This window comes from Homo sapiens, chromosome 1 (genome assembly GCF_000001405.40).
Source record: "Homo sapiens chromosome 1, GRCh38.p14 Primary Assembly".
NCBI lineage: Eukaryota > Metazoa > Chordata > Mammalia > Primates > Hominidae > Homo > Homo sapiens.
Window position 1 is genome coordinate 229,832,706 of NC_000001.11, and position 25,964 is coordinate 229,858,669.

A 25,964-nucleotide genomic window follows, 5' to 3' on the forward strand; every position below is an offset into this window, starting at 1 on the left:
GACCACTCTGGCACCATGATGGGACATAACCCACCACCAATCACCAGAGCTGTCTGATGACAGGTTTTGATCAAAAGCAGGAACTGTCTACTTTGAAAAAGCCAGTTCTTCAAGATTGATCGTGAATGATTAACTGAGCCTAAATTCAAATGGACCCAAGCGGCCATTTACTGACTAAAGGTTAAACATGTACTCTGTACTCCTGGAAAAACCACACACTCCATAACTTTGGGACACTCATATCTGTCCCTTTTTATGCTGCCTGAATCAATGGCTGCCAACACCTGGACCCAACCAATAAACTATAACCTCTGGTCAATCTTAACATCAACCAGTAAGAACTAAGCAAGTTTGCAACCCTCATTTGCATAGCATACTGGAGTGGAAGCCTGGGAAAAAACTTTTTCTATAAAGGACAACCCCTTTCTTTGTTCCAGTTGAGTGTACCTTTGTTGTATTGGAGGCTGCATCTCCCTGGTTTGCAAACTGCTCACAGAAATAAAGTGTCTCTTAATCTAATGCTTCTTTCTCAATAGTTTTGTTAACAAATCAACCTTGATGGTAATTTGGTTTCTCAGACTTTTCTATGGTAGAAAGATTGAGTTGACTAATCAACACATTTTAGGAATTATATTTCTCAGCACAGAATAAATAGAATGAGGCAATGGGTTCCTAGTCTCTCTTGCTAGGGTATAGTATTACCACCAAATGGGATTCCCAGACCCTGGTTTGCTGAAGAAGACTTTTCTGATTTTAAACCCCAAAATCCTATGCCCTGGGAAGTGCCTCATTCCTGGGAAGACTGAGACTGCTTGTCACCCTACCACCAGGACAAGAGCCTCCTGAGAATCGAAGTTGAGCACCAGAGTCTTGATCTTTGAGGACAATTGTCCAGTCCCACTGGCACATGTTTATTCTGTCCCCACGAGAAGCCACAGCCTGCCAGGCATTCAGTGAGGCTCACTATCTTAACTGAAGCACATTTAATCTGTAAATATCTGGAAAGCAGATCCAACACCCGAAGGCTGTCATTATAACTCCCTGTAAAGAAAGCCATTACTAAAAGCAGAGAAGTCCAGTAATGGAACGGGTCCAGGGCCAAGGAGTAGGTTTTCTGACAGTATTCCTAGACAGACCAATTGCTCCTCTCTCACAGATAATCCCTAGACCAGCATGGCAAAATTTAGTGAGTGAGTTGTTAAAAATTGCAGATTCCTGAGTGATTTTCCCCCATATTCTGCTTTGGTATATCCAAGGGTAAAGCCAAGGATTCTGCATTTTTAAGTTTCACCATCCATGCTGGTGATCTATAGACCACACTTTGAGAACCACAGCCTTAAAGAAATTGGAACACTAAATGTTTTCATACTCCTGTAGTTTCCAAATATATGTATTACTCATATATATCATCTTCTAGAATCTAATCAATTTTATTTCATCTAATTTAAATATAGTTGTAGCCATTAAACTTTTAAGTGTGTAGCCAGGCCCAGTGGCTCACCTCTGTAATCCCAGCACTTTGGGAGGCTGAGGCGGGCAGATCACTTGAACCCAGAAGTTCGAGATCAGCCTGGGAAACATGGTGAAACCCCATCTCTACGAAAATACAAAAAATTAGCTGGCCATTGTGGCATGTGCCTACTGTAGCCCCAGCTACTCAGGAGGCTGAGGTGGGAGAATCACTTGAGCCCAGGGGTTTGAGGCTGCAGTGAGCTGGGATCATGCCACTGCACTGAGTGACACAGCAAGATCTTGTCTCAAAAAACAAAAACAAAACACAAAAACCAAAAAACTTTTAAGTGTGCTTTAATCTCTGTTCCTTGGCATTTTTCTCATATAAAGAAATTTATTTATTTTTATTTATTTATTTATTTTGAGACGGAGTTTCACTGTTGTTGCCCAGGCTGGAGTGCAGTGGCGCGATCTCGGCTCACTGAACTCTGCCTCCTAAGTTCAAGTGATTCTCCTGCCTCAGCCTCTTTAGTAGCTGGGACTACAGGCGCACGCCACCAAGCCCAGCTAATTTTTTGTATTTTTAGTAGAGACAGGGTTTCACCATGTTAGCCAAGCTGATCTCGAACTCCTGACCTCAGGTGATCCACCTGCCTTGGCATCCCAAAGTGTTGAGATTACAGGGATGAGCCACCACCCTAGCCCATATAAACAAATTTATAAATTGAGTAACATTCTTTATCGGACCGTTTGTTCTTTTTATTTTAATTGGAGGAAAAAATGAGTGAATTCATAGAAGACAGAAGAAGACTTCAGGGGCTGTGTCTATGTTGCAAACAGTTTTCTGCCAGCTGCCCCAGATCTCAGGAACTAAAAAAATCACTTTATTGGAACCACCTTGCTGGGCCTCTCCCTCCCTGTTCAGAGCAGCTAATGAGGGGTCTGGAGAGTAGCTCTATTAAACAAAACGCAAAGAGTGCGTTGGGTGGTGGTATCTCATGTTAATGGTACAAAGCCTTCTCTCTGTTTGTTTTGCATATAGAATTCATTATATGGCATCAGCTGTCTCTGATTTCTTTTTTCCCCAAGAGGGAGACCATTAGAAGCAGGTGAAGACAGAATTATAACGAGCCCAAATCAGATTGCTGTTGGGATTTTATGCAGAGGAGCTTTTGTTTTCCTCTTCAAGTCTGCTTGAATTCCTCCCAGCTACTTCAGGCTTCTGCCTCTGCTCCACTGGCTCCCTGAAGCAGGCACCAAATGCTGGGGTTGCCTGTTATCAGAGCAAAACAAACACCTTCTGCCTCCAGCCCCGTTGTTCCAGTGAATATGGAAAGTTTGTGTGGCTGACTGGGTTTCGGGGAGATGCATTTGGCTGCCTCTCCTCACCTATTTCGTTTGTGCTCTATTAATCAAATGACTTGTGTTCCCCCCCCCCCCAAGCGCCCTTAAGATTGCTAATTAGTTACCTTAGGTCAGTTGGAGGCAATTTTCTCCATTTTATAGAAAATAACAGAGCAGCATCCCTCCTCCGAAGAAATAAGAATAACCCAGGCCCCCATCACCGGTGAAGGTCAAATGAGGGGTCTTTTCTCTGTGGAACAAATACCGGAGGAATAGCCACTCCATGCAAGAGACTAGGTGCTCCAGTGATTACAAAATGAGTTTGCAGCACACACACAGTTTCTGGTCCTCAAGAATCCCATCCATCTCCTTACCTCCTCCTTTCCCCTAGAGAGGAACTCAGAGTTCGACTTTTCTCTCTTTCTCCCTTTGCTGTGTTACTATTTCCATGAGCTCTCCTGGAGTTTTCTCTCCTTGATGGTCCTCTGGGTGCCATCTTTATACTCACCCCCAGACAGAGTGATGAATGGCGTCTTCTCAAGGTGTTCTTTTACAGGTAGAATCGCAGCGATGATACCTGGAAAAAATCTATCAACACTCCATGGTGTCTTGGTTTTGGGATTGGACAACGATTTATGCCTTTAATTTAGGGAGCTGGTTTCCCTTGTTTTATCTTTCAGGGGACAAGCCCAGCCCATTTAGGCTGTCAGTGAGCGGCAGTACCATCGACAGTCTAAACATTCTCTAGACCTTAATATTATTCTCATGTTAAATTCAGTTTAGCCTAAAGCTGCCTCCTTACCTATTTAAAGTTCAGCCTAAACGTTGCTCCATACATAGTGAACCCAATTGGATGTGTAAAGAGACCGTAACCTACTCTTGGAACAAGTAGCCGAGTCTCAGCCAATCACAAAAGCTGTACTTCAACCAATCACAGGCAGCCAACTGTTCAAACTGTATTCAAATAAGGCAAATACCGAGCTGCAGCCAATCGGGCTGTTTCTGTGCCTCACTTCTGCTTTCTGTACGTCGCTTTCTCCTTTCTGTCCATAAATCCTCTCCCACCACGTGGCAAAGCCAGGGTCTGAATCTGCTCTGGCTCAGGGGCTGCCTGATATGTGAAACGTTCTTGGCTCAATTAAACTCTGTTAAATTTAATTTATCCAAAGCTTTTCTTTTAATATTCAGGTGGCCCAAACAGAGCCAAGAAGAAGACAAGAAACTTAGGGAAGTGGGAATTGGGGGTGAAGAGACTAGGGGATCTCAAATAAGAGAGAAGATGGCAAGGATAGGGAGGAAAAAATAGAAACGAACTCCAGAAAAGAGAGACTTGAGTGAGAACCTGAACTAAGAATTCCAAATTAAGTTTTATTTCTTATACCCTAAGTATAGAAAATACATTGTACAGACAGTCCTTGTTTTGCATGCAAGAATTTCAGTTTTTACAGTTGAGTTAAAACTGTACTAGTGATCCAAGTATATACTGGCAGTCTTCCTGTGTATACCAGTCCCTCAGAAACATCGTTCAGCTTTCAGTTACCACAATATATTAATTGTGGATAATTGTAGCTCTTTCCAACTAATTCCTAAGTAAATAACAGATGCATATTATGATCAGTGGCCAACCATGCCACTTCTTTCAAAGTCTGTTGCATCTGTTATCCAGGACTCCAGTTTTTACATAGATGGCAAAGTGTGTGATCATGTCACCTCCTTGTCTCCCAGTGATAATCCTTGTGTCATTTTACAAAAATGGATAATTGGCCGGGCATGGTGGCTCACACCTGTAATCCCAGCACTTTGGGAGGCCGAGGCAGGTGGATCACCTGAGGTCAGGAGTTTGAGACCAGCCTGGTCAATGTGGTGAAACCCCATCTCTACTAAAAATACAAAAAGTAGCTGGGTGTGGTGGTGGGCACCTGTAATCCTAGCTATTCAGGAGGCTGAGGTGGGAGAATCACTTGAACCCGGGAGGCAGAGGTTGCAGTGAGCCGAGATCACGCCATTGCACTCCAACCTGGGTGACAAGAGTGAAACTTCATCTTAAAAAAAAAAAAAAGATAATCAAAAGAAGAAATTGGACAACAAAGATGAAAGTACAACAAAGAAAGTGAATTTCACCTGCTGGAAGTGAAATTGAACATGATTAAATGATTTGAAAATAACAACAAGAAAGCAAAGTTAGGAGAGACCAAGGTCTGCATGAAACTACTCTATATAAATTGTATATTAAAAGTTCAGAGAATAGAAAAACCAAGAAAGTGGCATCAGCAAAAAATTTAATGTTAATGGAACTCTCCGAGATATTCCATGACATTGAAAGCACTGAGGATAAAATATTGGAAACAGATCCAGACTTATAAAGGAGTAGGATGCTTTGCCAAGGCATAAAAAAGAGGCTCACTCAGTATTGTAAGCTTTATGATAAGAAGAAGGCAGCCACTGTTCAAACACCTCTTAGTATTTTTTTTACAAAGAAATAAAACACTTTAATTTTGAATGTTTCTAATGTTTAAATTATAGTGTACTAAATAACTATTCGTTTTACTAGCTTTTAATTTCCCTGTCTATTTATAACTGACAGCAGGGGAGTTTTTAAAAGCCGTAAGACAGTAATAATTTCTCCCATTGATTACTGAGATGATGGCTTTGCATGGTTTCAGCGACTTGCATGGTCATTTTTCTGGTTTGGCACTACCAGGTGAAGTATATACTTGGATCACAGGGTATTTGTGCATAGGTGAAGCAAGACTAATCATCACGATTTGTAAATTATATCAATTATAAGTAATATGGTCCTTTTTTAAAAAAAAAAAAAAGGGAGAGGTTTCTGGCTCTGCGTGCATGTGTGTATGCGTGTGCGAGCATGTGCGTGTGTGTGTAATTCGAAGTTGGCAACTGGCCTTTCTGTCTGCTGAATGCTGAATGAAATTCCCATGAGGCCCTACTCTCTTTTTGAGATTTCCTCTAATTTCTAGGGTGCAGGCTGGTGCAGAGTCTTACATCTTTCTGATCTCCTTTGCTTCTGCGATTCCATCTTCCTCAAGGGCTGCCTCAACCACTGCTTATGATATGGATTCAGCCCCTTCTTTTATTTCCACAACATGGAAGTCACTTACACCAGGCTTTCCTGAGCTCAGCAAACTTCATTGAGGATTGCGGGGGTGTGGGGGGAGGGGGCATGAAGAAGTCACATAATGAAGTGCACAGCTTTGTGCCATTCCACTCGTCCCCCTCTCTGTTTTCCCTTCCCTCTCCCTCGCCCCTCTGGAAACAATGAATTCCTTTCCCTGGGATATTTACAGGATCTTCCCCCATTGGCTCTCAGATGTGGGGGTAATTTGGGACTCTCTCAACTTTTAACTATGGCAAGTATTTATCTAAGCATCTTTCCAACCAAAGTCAGGTATCTTCTGAAGAGCAATTCTGGTGCCAGCTATTATGTTAATAAAGTTTTATATATAGACATATACGTATAGGTATAGAGAGAGTACACATAAGAAAGAAGAGAATTACATACATGAAAATGTTAACACTCAGTGAGTATCTCTGGGTGGTCAGGATTATAGATGATTGTTATTTTCTTCTTTTTACTTTTCTACGATAAACATATTTTATAAAATGTGCACAATGCACATATATTAAATTTTAATAAGAAAAACATTATTAAAATAGTTTGTGAGCCATCCCTGACAAAGGCAAGGGCACAAGGAGCACGGAGGAGAAGGTCTGAGTCGGCCAGGGAGCGGGAGGGAACACCAGAATAGGGGACTTGGGGAGGAAACAATGAAACAAAGAAATGGGAAAGGAACCAGATCATCACTTGAAGGTAACATAATTTGGCTCCATTGTGTTCCTGCTTTAGGAGGTTGACTAACAATTACCATGATAATTATAACAATTTCAGGTTCCTCTTCTGCACACTGTACTTTCATTATCCTCCAAGGCATTGTGCTTGTTCCTAACATCCTGCTACTACAAAAGAAGAAGTCTAATACGTGCATCCTTAATTTTAGCGAGAGCCCATGCTTGGCTCCGATACAATACCATTTTCAAGTTGCCTGCATATGTTAAAATGAGAATTTTATTGTCCCATCCCACCACAACCCATTCAATCCCGCAGTAGTTTTTAGAAAGACCAATCATTTGGGACCAGAAAGAGCAATGCGTCTTCCCAAGGATACGATGCACCCACCTTCCTTCTGTCCGGTACCTCACCACACCCCGTCTTACTCTGGGGCTTTTCTTTTCCTTGCAACTGAGAACTACAGTTCTCTCAATTTTTATTCAACTTGGGGGTTGTCACCAGTGTTGGCATGACTCCAGCATTGGGATTTAGAAAGGGCAGGGAGCTGTTGAAGGGGAAGGGGCTGGTAATCGGGTTTGGGGATGGTAGAGGACAGGAACAGGCTCAGCAGCATCTCTCCAGCCCCACAACCCCACAAGAATTAAAGGGCGGTGAGCAGGGTGGCATGCAGTCATGATGGAGGGCAGCTGTTGGAGGGGATCACTGAAGCCCCTAGTGGCTGTGTACATAGTTATTTTACTTTTGACTCTCTCAAGTCTTCCCGTTTAACACAAACAGAGGCAATTATGACAAAGTCAAAAAATAACAGATGCTGGTGAGGAAACAGAAAAGAGAATGCTTGTACACTACTGGTGGGAAGGTAAATCAGTACAACCCCTATGGAAAATAGTATGGAGATGTTTCAAAGAACTAAAAATAGAACTACCATTTAATCCAGGAATCCCACTACTGGGTATCTGCCCAAAGGGAAAGAAATCATTATATCAAAAAGATACCTGCACTCATATGTTTATTGCAGCATTAATCACAATAGCAAAAATATGGAATCAACCTAAGTGTCCATCAATGGATGACTGGATAAAGAAAATGTGATGAGTGTGTGTGTGTGTGTGTGTGTGTGTGTGTGTCTGCGTGTGTCATGGAATAGTACTCAGCCACAAAAAAGAATAACATATCTTTTGCAGCAACATAAATCGAACTGGAGGCCATCATCTTAAGTGAAATAACTCAGAAACAGAGTCAAATACTGCATGTTCTCACTTGTAAGTGGGAGCTAAATGTGTATCCAAATGTGTACATGTGGAAATAGAGTATGGAATAATAGACATTGGAGACTCGGAAGGGTGGGAGGGTGGTGGAGGTGAGGGATGAAAAAGGACCTAATGAGTACAGTGTACACTGTTGGGCGAGGGTTACAGTGAAAGCCCAGACTTCACCACTACACAATATATCTATGTAACAAAGCTGCACTTGTACCCCCAAATCTATTTTCTAAATATTAATTAGAAAACACAATAAATCCTTCCCTCTTTAGCATTCTGACTCTTCCCATATCCCTCTTTCCTTATTACATTTCTTATATAATTCCTGGCTGGGTGTGGTGGTTTATGCTTTGGGAGCCAAGGTGGGCAGCACTTTGGGAGGCCAAGGTGGGCAGATCACTTGAGCTCAGGAGTTTGAGACCAGCCTGGGTAACATGGTGAAACCCAGTCTCTACTAAAAAAAAAATATATATATATATACATACATAAATTAGCCGGGCATGGTGGCACATGCCTGTAACCCCAGCTACTCGGGAGGCTGAGGCAGGAGAATCGCTTGAGCCTGGGAGGCGGAGGTTTCAGTGAGCCGAGATTGTGCCACTGCACTCCAGCCTGGGCCACAGAGTGAGACTGTGTCTCAAAAAAAAAAAAAAAGAAAAGAAAAGAAAAGAAAGAAATTCTTATACAATTCCTTATTAAATTATTTCCTTGTTAACTTTCTTAAAAGGGAGATCCACACTTACTGACTCATTCCTTGCCTCCGGTTCACTCCTCAAACAAGTCCTGTCTGGATTTGGCACCCACGGCTTTATGCACTGATGAAATTAGTTTCGCTGAAGGCAGGGCTAATGTCCTGTTTTCTAGCCCTCATCCTGTTTCAACTCCTTGCAGTAGCTGATATCACTTTCACTTCTTCCCTCACACGTTCTTCTTTCGCAGATTTCCCCACTTCTTGATTAGTGGCTCTGCTGCCAACCTCCAGTTGTCTGAGCTATAATCCTTGGCAATCTCCTCAACTCCTTCTTTGCCAATATTAGACATATCTATAGAATCCATCCTCTTTTTTTTTTCTATTCCTAGTGCTACTTTCTTAGTTTAACTTGGCACATTCTTCATCTGAATTGTCTACCCTCTGGTCAAACCACTATTTTTAGCTGTGTATTATTATTATTGATTTCTAAGGTAGTTGCATTGTGATCAGAAACCATGGTTTGGATAATGCTTTGAAATTTGTTCTTTGTGTTTTATTGTTCTAGTATGTGATTAATTTTTATGAATGTTCCATATATACATGGAAAAGCATTTGTATTCTTGAGTTGTTGGGTGCTATGTTTCATATGTCTCCAACAGATCAAGCTTGTTCAAATGTTCTATAGCCTTATTGGTTTTCTGTCTACTGAGAGAGGTATGTTAAAGAATCTCACTGTGATAGTGTATTTGTCAACCTCTCTTTGTAGTTTTGTCCATTTTTACTCTATGCTCTTTTCTTTCCCTTAGATCCAGGGACAGACTGGATAATCTATGTATTCTGAAGTTATGTTATAAAGGGCATAGAAGTTTGGAATTATTATTATTATTATTATTTTTGAGATGGAGTCTCACTCTGTCACCCAGGCTGGAGTGCAATGGCACGATCTCAGCTCACTGCAGTCTCCGCCTCTCAGGTTCAAGTGATTCTCCTGCCTCAAGCCTCCCGAGTAGCTGGGATTACAGGTACCCGCCATGTTGCCTGGCTAATTTCTGAATTTTAGTAGAGATGGGGTTTCACCATTTCAGCCAGGCTGGTCTTGAACTCCTGACCTCAAGTGATCCGCCCACCTTGGCCTCCCACAGTGCTGGGATTACAGGTGTGAGCCACCATGCCCAGCCCGGAATTATTAAATCTTCTTGTGATCTTTATTTTTTTATCTCTTTATTGCTGATAATGCTTTTCTCCTTAAAGTCTGATATAAATGTCATGATGTCAGCTTTCTTTTGGTTAATATTACCTGGTATATCTTTCAGTGTTACTTCGTTTTCACCCTTTCTGGGGTTAAGAGGTGGTGTAATACAAAGGCTAAATGTATGGGCTCTAGGAGGGGCCTTCCTGGGTTCAAATCACACTCTCATTAGTTATTTAATCTCAGGCAAATTATTTCACTTCCTTATGATTAACTTTTATTATTATTATTATTTTTTGAGACAGGGTCTCACTCTGTTGCCCAGGCTGCAGTGTAGCTGCATGGTCACGGCTCTCTGCAGCCTCAACTTCCCAAGCTCAGGCGATTCTGCCAACTCAGCCTCCCAAGTAGCTGGGACTATAGGCACATGCCACCACGCCTGGCCAATTTTTGTATTTTTTTGGAGAGATGGGGTTTTGCCATGTAGCCTAGGCTGGTCTTGAACTTCTAGGCTCAAGCAATCAGCCTGCCGTGGCCTCCCACAGTGTCCTTATGATTTACTTTTCTTATCAAAACAGTCTCTGTCTCACTGGGCTATTGGGAAGATTAAATAGATAAATACGGCGTAGTCAGAACAGAACAGTGCTTGGCACATGGTGAGGACCACGTAAGTGTTTACTCATTGTGATTAGATACAGCTCTTATAGATAGTGTATTGCTGGACTTAGGAAAACAAGAATGATAATCTTTGCTTATTAGTTTAAGAGTTTGGCCCATTTACACTTGTTTCAATTATTGATATAATTTTATTCATTTATATAAGAAAAATAAAAAAACCATAATTTTAAAATAATTTTATTTATTCATATGATTTTATTTTGTACTCCTGTCCTATCTTGTCTCTCCATTCCCCCTGCCCTCATCCTTTCTTGTCTTTTATTGGACTGATTGAATTATTCTTCTCTCATTTCACTTTTTCCTCCCTCTAAAAGTTTGAAAATTATGCATTTTAGTTCTGTTATTTTGGTGGTTACCCTAGATATTTTAATATCTATATTTAACTTGACAGAGTCCTCTAGAACAGTAAAAGGACCATAAAACACTGTACTGTTAGTCATATCCCTCCAGGATTATGCTGCTTTTGTCTAGAATTTCGTTTCCAGCTTGAGCTTTTTCTTAATCCTACAAATTGAGTATCATTGCTATTGTTTGATACAGTCAGTAATTACTTAATTTTCACATGGCTGCCATTTCTTTGTTCACCATCTTTTTTTTGCACCTCCGACCTTTTGGTGGGAGGGATCATTTTCCCTATTCCTAAATGCTGTCTTATTAAAGAAGTTCCTTTCATGAGAATCAGTTGGTAACAGATTCTAACAGTTTTGGTTTATCAGTATATGTTTTTACTTTGCCTTTGTCCTTGGAAGAGTGGCAGGAGTTTCAGTGCTTCCTGAACATTCACATGCTCTTCCCCTCCCCTGCAACATCTTCCCTTGCAGCTGGGTGGAGCCCTGTGAGTCACTCTGGCTGATGGACTGGGAGCCGGAGCCACAGGTGTCATTTCTGGACTGAGGCACAGTGAGCATCTCCAGCATGACCCTTTAGCTCTTCTCCTTCTCTGGTGATTCTGCAGGCCATGTGTTGAGATGGTGGAGCCTCAAGATGTAGGCAGCCTGGATTGATGAGTCACTCACTGTATGGTACACAATGTCCTGGAGAGTCACTTGATTAATAGGAGATTTTGGACAAACATAAAATAAATCTTTGTGTAAAAAGTCGGTGATATCTTGGCTCAGTTGTTATTAGCCTATGCAGTCTCGTAAAACCAGAACTTTCCCTTAGGATATTGAAAATATTGTTGTATTGTTTTCTGGATACCATTACTGCTGTTGATTTTATGAAATTGTCATTCTTTTTGTTGATAATCTGCTTTTCTTTCCATCGACTTTTAGTGCTTTTAGTGTCTTTGGTGTGGAGGGAAGGCATGGCAGGAGGCAAATCTCCAAATTTTTCTTGGCCAACCCAGCTCTCTCCCCTCTTGCCTGCAATTCTCAGAGAGAAGGTACTGAGAATGCAACACCCTGAGATAAGCAGGAACCATCTGAAACAGGCTGGGATTTATCCATCCAGGACATCTTCCTAGAACAGGATATCCTGCAAAGCTTGGGCTCAGCAAACCATGTTGCCCCTGGGGTATAAAAACCAAAACACAGCCCTTTCAGGGTCTCTCGGCTGGGATGCGAAGTGAGGCACGTGTAGACAAGACTCCATCTGCCCTGGGCAGCTTTCCTGAACCCGAGGGACTGGTTTGCCATGGATCCTCGGCTTCTGTTTATCTTTGCTGCTCACCTGTGAGTTGTAAATCTGCTTTGCCTGACTTGTGTGACAGTTCCATCTCACCAGACTCACTGGGACAGCCGGGCTAGTGCAAAACCTCCTGCTAGACCTGGAAGCCTGCCATATCTAGGAACCTTAGCAGAAAATGCAAGGACTTTTGAGTGTTCCTCTAGGATTAGCAACAGGTACACAGTGTTCCCCTCACAGGGATTGATACTGATGTATGTTATTCTGCTTCACAGGCACTGTTTAGAGTTTTGCAGACTGAGTGTTCATTTCTTATTGTTTATTGTTCTTGAGATTCCTTGGTGTTGCTGAATCTAAGGATTGGTGTCTTTCATCAATTCTAGAAATTTGTTGGTCATTATTTCTACAAAGTGTGGCTTTTCTCTGCTGTTTCTATTATGTTCTTCTGATGTTCTAAAAACATATATTTTGGGTCTTCTTTCTTGGTGATTTATTTCCGTTGATACCTCTTTTTCATGTTCTCTGTTTGTCTCATTTTGTGTGCTATTTCTTAATATTTACTTTCCAGTTCACCAATTTTCTCTTTGAATCTGATACGTTATTTAAGTCATTCATTGAGTTTCTAATATCAATTATATTTTCCCTTTTTAGAAGTTTTGCTTGGTACTTTTAGGATCTACCTAGTGATTTTATAGTCTTTTGTTCTTCACTTAGATATTTTTCTGAAATTCCCTGGTATTTCTTTAAATGTAATAATAGATTTTTTTTTTTCTGTATCTGATGATTGCCATACCTGTTGTTTTTGCAGTACTTATTTTGTGGTTTGTAGCTTCTGCTGACTTTCTCATGGTGACTTACTTCCTCATATATTTAGTGACTTTTGACTGGGAGCTCAAGTCCCTTGTACTTCTTAGAGTTGTGTTTTGCAGAGAGAATTGGGAATTGACACTTTCCTTTGCCAAGATCTGGGGAAGCGCCAACTTGGGATTACTTTATGTAGATATTTGTCTTGGAAGTTTTGAGGCCATTCATAGAGTGGGAATTCAGACTCCAGATCTGAATGAGTGTGGGTGAGTGGCTAGGAATTTTCAGAAGGTATGTGATTGATTGATTGATTGAGGGATTGCTATTTCAGAACCAAGGCAAAAACAGGCAGTTATTCCCTCTGCCTCCCTCTGCAGGATGGGCTGTGCCCTAGTTCACCCATGGGGATGTGTTACCTTACAGGAATGATGACTTTCTCGAAGGGTTTCTGACGTGATCTCCCACCCTGACCAGACACCTGGCTACTTCTAAACCCGTATCACCCCATCATCTTCTGAACCTGATCTCAGCCCCCAGGGATCAGCATGGAGTCTCAGAAAAAAACCTCATTTCTGATGCTCTCAGGATTGTGCTTGTTGCTATCATCTTAGTCAGGCGTTCAAAAGAATGTTTGAGATGTCTCCCCCAGCAGCTTTAGGTGTTTGTACTGAAAGGCACTATCAGAAATGAAAATTTTCAAATACAGCCTATGTGGCAGGCTCTGTTCTAGGCATTGGAAATCCAGTAAACAAAAGAGACCACAATCTCTGCTCTCATGGAGTCTTAATGGGGGAAGACAAGACATTAAAAATATAAACGACTAAATATATAGTAATAGACAATGATTAGTGTTCAAGAGAAAAATAAGGCAGGTGAGTGAGTAGAAGAATGCCAGGGGCCAGGAATGGGGATTGATTTTAAAGAAGTTGATGACCGGAGGCCTTGCTGAGCAAACACCTGAGAAGGTGGGGGCCAGGTGTGTTTATGGCAGCGAAGGCTGCCCCAGGCAGAGGGAACATAATAATCCCCTTGTCTCCAAGAGGAAGTTAAAACTGCGTAGCTTGTCATTTACAACATGTACCCTAAAACTTAAAGTATAATAAAAAAAAACAAGCAAACAAAAAAATGCATAGCGTGTGCCTCCACTTGAAGACAGAGGAAGGCTTTTCTAAGGGAAGATGTTCTAGATGCTGTGGAAATACCGAGCAGCCATATTCTAAGCACTGTGGCTGCCTCTGCTTCGGGAACTTTCCATGGGGCACCAGGCTCCCTGCACAGTGCATTCTCTCTGTGCCAGTCACCAAATGCCAATGAATGCTTAACGGCCCGGTGTCACCCCTCCTCTTTCTGCCCTGTTATTTTTCTCCTCCTCACAGGTATATTTTCTTTCCTCACACAGTTTTTATCCACTGTGTTATTCAGAGCCTTGTGGTGTTTAAATGAACAAACTCGTCATGAATATGACATAAAGGAAGCTTTGGACCCTCATGGTGGCTGATGACACATATGCAGAGTTTCCCAAGGTGCTTAATTTTTTTTGTTGTTGTTGTTTTTTTGAGACAGAGTCTTGCTCTGTCACCCAGGCGGGAGTGCAAGGGCGTAATCTCGGTTCACTGCAACCTCTGCCTCACGGGCTCAAGCAATTCTCCTGCTTCAGCCTGCTGAGTAGCTGAGATTACAGGCGTCCACCACCATGCCCAGCTCATTTTTGTATTTTTAGTAGAGATGGGGTTTCATCATGTTGGTCAAGCTGGTCTCGAACCCCTGACCTCAGGCGATCTGCCCTCCTGGGCCTCTGAAAGTGCTGGGATTACAGGTTTGAGCCACTTTGCCTGGTCCCAAGGTGCTTAATTTAAAACATACAACCTTGCTGACTTGCATTGAACATGCCAGTTTCCCTGAAAAGTTTTATCAGAGTAAGCTAAATTATTTGGTCATCCTCTCATTTCACCCCCAGTACCCCTCAGGAATTCTATGTGGAGATGGAGAAAAGGGTTTCTGTTACAGGTCCCAGGGTTCAGGAGCAGCAGAATGACCAAGGCAAATCTGTTGGGGAACATCTTTGGCCTCCTACAGGGATGGGACCAGGACGTGTGGGCTTGGGTAGGGTCACTGCTCTGTTTCTTTCTGGCAGCCCCATGGCAGGAGTATCCTTCGAGAGCATCCCTTTGCCCTGTTGAATGCTGCTTTGACAGTGCAAACCAGCATCAAATCTGTTGCAGGAATGCTTTAGAAAAGGTATAGGAAAGACTTTTTTCACCCACCTTTCTAGTCTTCTTGAACAAAAAGGAAGGTTCAACGAGGCATGACCTTCCATTTCTTAGAGTGGCAGTGGTGGTGTTCTGATGTTGAATGGTAAAGTGCAGCGCCTCTCCAAGTTCTCCATATAAGTTGTCCTAACCAAACATCTCCGTTCCAGTCTGGCACCTGGGGGTTCAGCACACGGTGACCTACCATGTGGCCAACATGCATTTGTAGAAATTTGTGTCACGTGAAAATTTATGGGAGTTTTTCATTCTACTCAATGAGAGATTGCTGTATGTTTTGCACAGTGTTAGTCCTAAAACACATCAAGTAGAATTGTTGATCCAGAAGTTACAGCACATGTGGCCCATGGCCCTGCATGGGCTGGGTTCACCACCAGGTGCCTCCTGGGAGTGGGTGTCCCATCTGAGAAGCGCAGGTGGTGGAAAGAACCCAGGCCTGGGAGTCAGGAGGTCTGCATTCTAGCCCTGGCTCTGTCACACTTGCCGGAGGACCTCAGACTGCGATTTCTGGGCTTTAGTTTGCCCATCTGTAAAATGGGAGCATCGGGCAAGGTGATCTCCTTGATTCTTCCCAGCTTGATCATCCTGGAATGCACCACTCTAGGTACACCCCTTGGTTGCATTCTATTAATTTGGAAAGGATTTTCCATCAGAATCAAACACTTTCTGCTTGTTTTTAGCCCAGTAGTGGCATTTTTAGTGAAGTCAGTGGAAAATAGCTTCAGTTACTTCTAAATGGTAATAGGGAAAAGTAATATTCTTTTCCTATTTTAAAAGTCTCAGATTCTGAAACCCCACCATAAGTCTGAGTAACACAACTGCAGGCCTACTAGCATGCTTGGGATCTAAGGTAATGAGGCCACAACCTAGGTCCTAATTCCCTTCTTCCAAAGAGTATCCAGTAAATTCCTCATGCTTCACTAGCCTCTTGCCCCATGGGAAATGGGGAGTGAGATTCAACTATTTGTTTTTGGAGGCACAAAGTGGAAAAGACTTACCAAGGTTTGAATCAAGGTTGTCTTAGAGCCACAGGTAGAAGCAAGAGGGTCTCTTGACTTTGTCTGAAACTCTTTGACTTGGCACAGGAATGAAAGTCGTATCATTGAAGAACTCTTGATATGATGAGGTCATGTATGTGGAAGCTCTTGCACATGGTTAGGTACTGTATAAACATAAAGTACAAATATCAGTAGACTTTCATGTGCACAATGAGGAGTCTGCATTGCTGTTTTGATAAACAATAAATACTTCCCTCCTTCTCCCATAATCTATTCATGTTCGTTCTATTTGCATTGGTGTGCGAATTAGTCTCTTCCCCTTCAAACAAGTCAGTTTAGCTAGAAGCATTAAACATAATTAAGTAGACAGGCATAAGCGTCTTGCTGGCAGAAGAACAAAAAAAATCAAGGCAATTTGTTGGAAATACTGCCCCTAGAGGACACAGGGCCACTTATGGCTGCAGTGGAATGGTGGTATGGTACAGCTTCTAGGGACCTTGGGGATCGTTTAGCTCTTGAGCACCTGGTGAAATGTAGCTTCCTTGGCCTGAGGTGTTGGTCTGTCTAAGATATTTCATTAAAAAAAAAACATTTTGCATCTTCGATAGACGATGTGAACAAATGGAATGAACTGGCCTTCCCACTTAGCCCCTGCCAGCTTACTGTAAATGACTGCTGCCAGGTGTCACCTTAGCAGGACTGAACCATTGATCACGGCAAATGGAGCTGTAGGTAATTAAGTACATAATTTTAAGCCATTCAAGTGAAATTCCATAAGAAGTACATCATGAAACTGGGAATTATGTAGAATTACTGGCAAAAGGAAACCGAGTGTGAATACAGTCTTTCCCTAACACCTGATTCACGTCCAACATCACCACACAGAGTAAGTTTCTTTCTTTCTTTTTTATTTTTTGAGACAGGTCTTGCTCTGTCACCCAGGCTGAAGTGCAGTGGCACAATCATAGTTCACCACAGCATTAAGCTCTTGGGCTCTAGTGATACTCCCAGCTCAGCTTCTGGTGTAGGTGGGACTACAGGTGCATGCCAGCATGCCTGGCTACATTTTAAAATTTTTTTTGTAGAGGTAGAGTCTTGCTTTACTGCCCAGGCTGGTCTCAAACTCTTGCCTTCAAGCGACCTTCCCAAAGTGCTGGGATTACAGGTACCCATCATCATGACCAGCTAATTTTAAACAATATTTTTTGTAGAGATGGGGGTCTCACTATATTGCCCAGGCTGCTCTCAAACTCCTGGCCTCAAGTGATCCTCCTGCTTTGGCCTCCCAAAGTGCTGGGATCACAGCAGGGAGCCACTGCACCTGGCTGGAGAGTGTTAAGTTTCTATGTGACCCAGGACTCGTTATCTTCACAGGTATGGCTGTCTGATGGGGTATGCTTTTGGTTAGAACTGGAATCTGGGATCCTCCAGAAGGAAGAACAGTAGGGCTCAGCAGAGGAGCAGGAGGGCAGGAAGCAGTGACCAACGGGCTAGAGGGACATGGGGACTACAAAGGATGTCCTTGTCCTCTGTCCCAGGGCAGTGGGACAGAGCAGGGCCAGGCATCAGGGTGAGGCAGACCCATCAACAACAGTTCAGGTAAGCCTGGTGCCAGGGCACCCTACAGAGGGTGAAGCAGGTGGCAATGAGAGATCCCTGTCCTCCCTCCCCTTCTGGCCCCATGAGGCTGTAGAGGTTCTGGGGCTTAGAGAAAGGCCAGCAGTGAGTGGGATACTGGGTGTGGGGCCAAAACATCCCAAAGGCAGTGCCCAGTGGTGCAGCTTGAGGACGGGCCCACAGGCAAGCGTCAGCAGAGGGGAGCAGTCTGGCTGGAGCAACAGAACAGGAGTAAGAGAACAGAGGGGCTTTAACAAATGTTAAGGACAGGAAGAGACTCCTGTGACCAAGAGAGAGGCCACCTGATTGAAGCTTCTCCAAGGGGCCTGCAGCCTTGGATCTGGGTGGAGGGGAAGCCCTTAGGGACACGGAGCCTCTTTGGACACCTTCACGGGGAGGCCAGAGCCTCAGAGGAGTCCAGAGCCCTGTGGATTCCCAGAAAGACTCACACTGGTGCCCAGGGGCCTGGGATGCAAGAGCTGATCTTCAGGAGGGTTGCAGAGCTGGGCAGGACACCCAGCTCCCGCCCCAGACCCAACTGGGGATTTGGGTTCAGAGCAGGGCTTCCAGACAGAGCAACTGTCTTTTGCTAGGAAGGCCACATCCAGCAAGTGGAGCTCAGGGAGTGCCGCCAGACAGTCTTCCTCCCAGCACCCAGGTCTCTCTCCTATGCCTGGCTATGGGACCCCAGGTCCCTAAACTGAAGTACATTTTATGTCCCCAGGAGCCTGCCGTCTCCTGATCTTTGCCTTAGGTCCTCAGGGTGATTCATGCCACCCCTGGCTCTGATCTGGATTGTGGCAAAGCTCCTCGTCCATCTCCCACATTCACCATTGGCTCTGAGGTCCATTCTTCAGACCAAGGCCAGGGGCCTTGGTAAACAGCTAACCTAATCACACCACTCATCTGCTTGAAACTCTTCTGTCGCTGGGATAATTCCAGACACCTGACCAAGCCGAACCATCCAGCCCCTGTCTCCCTCCCAGGATCCCCTCCTGGCCTCGGAGCCTTCACCAGGGCACCGCTCCACACCAGGGCCTTTTCTGGCATCTTCGTCAAAGAAACACCTCTTTTCTACCTTGGCACAAATGTTCCTCCCTCAAGGCTACTGGCCCTCAGGCGCCCATGCCCTCTGGGCCTGCATTTCTCCAGTATCGCTTACTGTGGCTGTCATGGAACAAGGAGCTAGGCACAGAGCTGCTTCACGTCTGACTTCCCCAGAGGGTGTCAGGCAGCCGGATGAAGCAGGGCTGCTGTGTTGATCATCTGCCTGGTGCTGACCTCACCCCTTACGTGAAGAGCATTCACCAGCCAGGACTGGTGGGCCAATGAGGGGTCAGTGGTACAGGCAACACTACTCTGTTGAAGAAAGGGGAACCAACTTCTGACACACAGCAACAGGGGTGAATCTCAAAATGATCAGCCTGAGTGAAAGCCAGACACAGGAATACTTCTGATGCGGTTCCCTTTGTAGAACATTCTAGACATTTCAAATGAAATTGTTGTGACGGAAAGCAGGTTGGTGGTTGCTTGAGCCAGGGGGTGGAGAGGGAGGTAAAGTGTGTGGGTCAGGAGGGAACTTTCTGGGGTGATTCTGCACAGTCTATGTCTTTGCCAGGACAGTGATATCAAAGCTCATCAAACTGTATACTTTATTATTATTTTTTTCAAATTTTGTTTACCTTTTTTTTTAGTGATAGGGTCTTGTAATGTTGTCCAGGCTGGTCTTGAACGAACTCGTGGCCTTAAGGATCCTCCTACACAATGCCCTGGAGTGCTGGGATTATTGGCCTGAGCCACTGTGCCCAGCCCAAATTGTATACTTAAAATGAACGCAGCTTACTGTACACAAATTACACGTAAATAAAGTTGACTATTTTTTTAATTTAAAAATGTCACCAAATGGCATAATGCATGCTGATGACACACTCACTGCCTCTGTCATGACTAGACCTGAGCTGTACTAAGTCTGGTCCAGCGATAATTCCCCCTCCCCACCCCATTGAGTGCCATGCACCCTGCATGGTGTTTTACATGATTTCAATCAATGCATTTGACAGTCCTCTGAAGTGATGTTTCAGATGCTCTGAGCACTGCCCCTGCCAGCCCTCATCCACCGTTCCTGTTTGTAGGTCATGCTTAGCTTGTGGCCAGAGCCCATTGGACCCGGGTATGCCCAAGTGGGGCCAACCAGACCCTTTTCTTTGGTCATTTGCCCTGAGAGACTCAGAGCTCAGGTCCTATCATGTGTGCCTCAGAGCATCGTAGCAGGGTAAACGGAGGCCTCTGGAAGCTGGAACACAGAGAAGGGCTTGGGGAGGTGTTGAGAGTTATAGGCACTGGGTCTGGGGGCCGTCTGTCTCCCCCACGGCCCCCACTAGCTCTGCCTTGGGCCCCAGGAACTTCCTATGTAACCCACATTCGTCTCCAAGTGAGTGTCTGTTTCTGAGAACCAAATTAGTCCTCATAAAGTAGATATTCATATCTGCATTTCACAGGGGAGAAATGGAGGTTTAGGGAGGGTAAAAGACTTGTTCAAGGACATGTAGCTAATTCATATTTGATGTTTGTCAAGCTCCAGAGCTGTGTCCTTTACAGATGGGCTCTGGTGCCACCATAGTCCAAAGGAATAAAGTCAGTGTGGACTATGTGTTTCCCAGGCACCCTTCTCTGAGGTGGTGGCTGCCTCAGCAAGAGGAGGCCTAGGAGGTTGCAAAAACTGGCAAAGTGCTGACCTCACGAGTTCTCACTTCCTAGGCCGCTCTTCTGGTCCAGTTTAGATGAAATAATGTATGTAAAGGGCCTGGCATCCCATAAATGCCCATTAAATACATATGTAGGAAAGATACAAAAAGACAGAGATCATGAGCCATCAGCCGAGGTTTAGACGCAGAGCACAAGAGGAAAATGATGCTCTGCGGGGCCAGGGCTGGCAGGAATTGATGTAATTTAGTAGTAAAAGTAGCTCTGCCTTGATGTGAAAGCAAAAATGGTTCTAATTGTTTGCCGAAAGGATACTCCATTTATTTAAAGAAAGAAACACTCTCCTGTCATTAACTCTAATAGGGATGTGTTGTTAAGGCCCCTTTATAGTGACTCTGAACAACACAATGGACAGTGTATTCAAAAGCGGTGTCAAAAAATTCAGAAGCTGTCATATGTCCATTTCTTATAGCGAATTTGGATAAAAGTTAAAGCTCCATGGGGAGCTATTCTTTTCTTAGAAGGATGTAAGTACAAATTAATAATAACGATTCAGAAATATTCTATGTAGAGCAGGTGCACTGCCCACCGCCTGCCCCCACAACACTGAAGGTCTCCTCAGGGGCTGCCAGCAGGATGCCCATTGCTCTGGCCTTAGGAGGCAATGCCAGTTGCTACCATCTGGGAAACTGACTTCTAGCAAAGGCCATTGAATAGTCTGCTACTCACTCCCCTGGAGAGGAGAGGTCTGGCTTTCTCCACTCACCCAAGGGGGCCTGCTGAAAGGCATTTTAGCTGATGGGTTAATTCTGAGCCCCAGAGAGTAGAACCCAGCTGTGAAGTCTCAGTGGCTCCCTGCAAGGTGGCTCTTCCTATTAAGAGGAAGACCTGGGGCCGCGCCCCTCACGCTGACTTCTCACACTCCCACTGCAGTTGTCAGGGAGTATTACCCCAAGGAGCTGGGAAACAACTGTGATCCAGGGCCCAGTTCCTAGGGGTTCTGATGGGATTGGTCTGAGGAGGAAATCTGGGATCAGGAAATTTCAACGTGTAGCCTCGGGAGAGAACCACTGCCAAAGATGAAGTTCTCACCATTGCCCCCAACCCCTGAGGAGCTGACTGTCCCTAACAAAAACGCAGAAGCAGTACTAGGGATTTTTGTAAATAAGTAGATTTTAGCTGGTCTTATCAGAAAAAAAAAAGGAACTATGTGAGATGATAGATGTGATCATCTGTTTCACCATAGTAACCATTGTTCAGTCTGCTTGTTTCTATATGTTTCTGTGTGTCTATATCATCCTGTAATATCATGTTATAAACCTCAAATATGCACAATAAAATTCATTTTAAAAGTAAAAATTGAACATGCATTACTTTTAAAATAAAAGAAAAAATGCAGGCATGGGACACTGGGGAAGAGATTTTGCAAAGCTAGAATTGATTTTTCATCTCCCACGAGCAAAGTGAATAATTGTGCCAGTGGTCACAAGTTCTTTTCTTCATCAAAGAGAAAAAGGATAATCTATTTTCAGCATCCATCCACACATCCATCCATCTGCTCACTTTTCCCTCCCTCTCTCCTTCCCTCCCTCTCTTCCTTTTTTCCATCTTTCTGTCAATTCTTTACATCCATCCATCCATCCATGCATCCATCCATCCGTCCTTCCATCTATCTATCTTTCTACCCATTTATTTATCTATCCATCCTTCCTGCCATCCTTTCTTTCACCCTTCCTTTCTTTTTTCTTTCTTCCTTCTATCCTACCATTTGTCTATCCATTCTTCTATCCTTCTGTCTCACCCATATATACTGTGTTCACAGCTGTGCTGGGGGTAGAGAAGCAAGGCTGGGCAGAACATGGGGCAGGGATCTGAAAGTCTTTTGTTTCTCCTGGTTCTGCACCTCCTAGTCAGTTGGCTTTGGGCAGGTCCCTTAATAAAGCTGGGTCACAGGCTATCTGAGAAATGGGGGCATTGAACTAAAAATCTCAAAGGATCTATATTTCTAGATGTCTATGGATTTAGAAGACATGGACCCTGCCATCAAAAAGTTTGCAACATAGTTGGAGATACAAGACACATAAATGTAGCAAAAATATTTTGAGAGCACAAGTATCTCACTTAAGACAGATTCAGGGAAGAATCCCCACTGGCATGGCAACTGTTTTCCTCCAAGTTCTAGGGATATTTTATGTGCAAAGATGCCTGTCCCTGTGGAGCAGCCACAGCTGAATGTGTGACTTGGGTGGCTTTTGCAGGGGTGTTATAAGCTTGTGCTGTTGACCAGAAGAATCCAAAATCTGGAAATAAAGCCAAGGGGATGAAAGAATGTTTCCAGAGTCATACAGGAGCTTTGCTTCACAGGCTTGCCCAAGGATGATCTACTTTTCAGGAGGATGGGCCGTTGTTTGACTGCCATTTACTATTGAGGACTCAGATTCTATGGCATTCCATGTTATATTGTAGATGTTTGTCCAGTAGAGATGCAAATGATTCCCATCTAGTGAAAAGATAATCCACCGATTTATTGCCCTGTAGGACATGAACCGGTTTTGTCACAAACATTGAAAAATCGATTTCAGTGTGCCTTTCCCAGTGGGCTACATAAATCCCAGTGCATCAAATGCCATTTGACTAGCATTATTGACTCTCTGGCTCTCTCCTTAAGTGATGAGCTGAATAAAATCAAGAGCTTGCATTTGAAGGAAATCAAAATATTCCTCTCTAAAATACTGGGCATTTTAGTTAAAGTTAAAACACAGGGATATTCTCTGCCCTCCTATCTTTATCAGCTCAGAAACAGAGCTCAGAGACAGCAGTGCCAGAGGACCCAGGAGTGGACTTCACTCTTCCCATTAGTTTACTTTCCCTCATTTTCCCACCTTTTGGAAGCCTGAAGATACTCTCTTTCTTGTCTTGTCACTACATAGGATTTTTAGTTCTTTAGTGCTATTTAAGCAAGACCCCAAAGCCACTGCCTTGAGAGGGAAATCCTTTTGAACTAAGGCCTCTCCCGTGTGATGGGTACAGCAAGGTTAGTAAACTTCTGCTTTTCTCTTTCGTTAATCTGACTTTCGTTTTCAAGAGAGTGTCTCCACTAAGAATCTAAAAAGGCAAAGAAATTATGTTTTTCCCCTACATGTTCATTCTATTTTGCTTGCAAGCCATGGTTTTAATTTCCTTCAAAATTTCTCTTGGACATTGCTGGTCCACTGGTCCTGCCAGCCCCCTCTGGACATGAGCGTGCAGGAGAAGGCACAGCTCTGGGGAGGGAGGGGCCTTGCAAGGCCCACAGCTGCTCAGCAGCCCAGGCTCTCACAGAGGAGCCACCAGCCCCTCCCCTTAGCACAGCTTCAGTGCTCAAAAGGGCCCTGCTGGTGCGTGAAACTGGGAGGGAAGGTGCCTCCGACTCAGAAGCTCGGTTTAGCACTGAAAATCAAGCAGACACCTGGGACCTGGAAGAGCCAGGTGTATCAGACTGTCTGGCATGAGCTAGGCTTTTTCCTTGTTCCCCAACCTGAGCAGCCCCATGGTGGTTTTGTGGTAGAATAAGAAATATAGGCCAGGTGTGGTGGCTCACACCTGTAATCCCAGCACTTTGGGAGGCTGAGGTGGGTGAATCACCTGAAGTCAGGAGTTTGAGACCAGTCTGACTAACACAGTGAAACCCTGTCTCTACTTAAAATACAAAAATTAACCAGGCGTGGTGGTGTGTGCCTGTAATCTCAGCTACTCAGGAGGCTGAGGCAGGAGAATTGCTTGAACCTGGGAGGTGGAGGTTGCAGTCAGCCAAGATTGTGCCACTGCTCTCCAGTCTGGGTGACAGAGTAAGACTCCGTCTCAGGAAAAGGAAAAAAAAAAAAGAAAAAATATATATACAGGTTGAGTATCCCTCATCCAAAATGCTTGGGACCAGCACTGTTTCAGATTTCAGATTTCAGATTTTTTTCTTCAGATTTTGAAACGTCTGTATTATACTTACCAGTTAAAGATTTCTAATCTGAAAATCCAAAACCTGAAATTTTCCAATAAGCATTTCCTTTGAGTGTCATGTTGACACTCAAGAAGTTCAGAATTTTGGAACATTTGGATTTCAGACTTTTGGATTAGGGATACTCAGCTTGTATTTACTCTGCTGGCCACCATGAAAACCTCCATTAAAAACCCCAATGGACATTGTGCTGACAGCTTCTGGGTTGGTGAGCACAGGGGGGTGCAGGGAGGGTGGTGCACCCTGGGGAGATATGGTGGCCCCGAGCAGCTTCCTCCAGACCTTGCCCTGGGAATCCCTTCCATCTGGCTGTTCCTGAGTTGTATCCTTTGTAATAAACAGGTAACCTAGAAAACAAACTGTTTTCCTGAGTTCTGTGAGCCCCTCTAGGAAAGGATCAAACCCGAGAAAAAGGTTGTGAGAACCTCCATTTGTAGTCAAGTTAGACTAGTGTCGCGGGTAGCCTGAAGACCCTCTCCTTGCAGTTGGAGTCTGAAGTTAGGGGCAGGCTTGTGGGACTGAGTCCTGAACCTGTGGGATCTGTGCTGACTTCAGATCGAGCCAGAATTAAATTGAATTGTAAGACACCCTGCTGGAGAACTGGTCAGTGGGGGAAAAAAACAAAACCCACACATCTGAGTCACCGAAGTGTTCTGTGTTGACTGTGGTGTCAGAATTGAAGGGCTCTGGAAGTGTGGAGAGTGGAGAAAATGGTTTGTGTTTTCCTATTACACACCCACTCTGGAGGTTCTTAGGGTTTGCAGACCAGGAAGCAGAGAAAACCCTTCACATGGAAACCATTCCTGCCCATCCCTGGCTCCTGGGTGGTGGGAAGGCCCATTGCTAATGGGGCCAGGGTAGGCATTTTGAGTTCATTTAGCTTAGCCCTTAATGGAATCTTACTCAGACAGTCCTAAGCCCACCGGCAAGGCAATAAAAGTTGTCCCCACCCCTATCAAACAACTCATAGCATATTAATTTTGACACAAGGTAACATAAGTGATAGCAGAGATGGTGGGCATAAAATGGATGAAGTCCCCCCCGGGACAGCAGTCTGATAGTTTGAGGTAGGAGGCTTTACCATATTTATGTACCTGTCCCAGCAATTCTACTTCAAGGAAGCTATTCTAAGGGAACAACCAGAGATGAAGGTAAAGAATTTAGTAGTCATTGGAGTGTTAATTATTACAAAAATTGGAAAAAGCCAAAATGGTCCACAATAGGGGATTATTTTAAAAATGGATGCTGAGCCGTAAAGCAGAATGACATATAGCCATTAAAACTTAAAAAAAGAGAATTTTTAGTAAAAACAGAAATATTCGCTCTTAAAAAGCCCATCAGATGGACGTGGTGGCTCACACCTATAATTCCAGCACTTTGGGAGGCTGAGGTAGGAGGATCTCTTGAGCCCAAGAGTTTGAGATGAGCTGGGGCAACATAGTGAGACCCTGTCTCTAAAAAAAAAAATTAGAAAAATTAGCCAGTGCGCACCTGTAGTCCCATCTACTTGGGAGGCTGAGGTGAGAGGACTGCT

At 43.9% G+C, this 25,964-nt stretch overlaps 1 long non-coding RNA gene across 1 annotated transcript in view, besides 1 other annotated feature; it reads right to left on the reverse strand.

Annotated features, from left to right (window-relative positions):
- Positions 1 to 3,170: 3,170 nt before the first annotated feature.
- LOC105373162 (uncharacterized) overlaps positions 3,171 to 25,964 on the reverse strand; it is a 31,087-nt gene continuing 8,293 nt past the window's right edge. Inside the window, exons 2-4 of the long non-coding RNA XR_001737830.1 lie at positions 16,120 to 16,283; positions 15,119 to 15,304; positions 3,171 to 3,373 (exon numbers count right to left, since the gene is read on the reverse strand). This is a non-coding gene — a long non-coding RNA (uncharacterized LOC105373162). The remainder of the gene's footprint in view (positions 3,374 to 15,118; positions 15,305 to 16,119; positions 16,284 to 25,964) is intronic.
- Positions 25,050 to 25,245: a silencer, noted in NCBI's record as "fragment chr1:229993502-229993697 (GRCh37/hg19 assembly coordinates)". NCBI's record gives its function as "represses an EF-1alpha promoter that drives an FKBP-Casp9 reporter gene in an ReSE screen in phorbol 12-myristate 13-acetate-treated (for megakaryocytic differentiation) K562 erythroleukemia cells {active_cell/tissue: K562(+PMA)}" and the evidence as "EXISTENCE:reporter gene assay evidence [ECO:0000049][PMID:32094911]".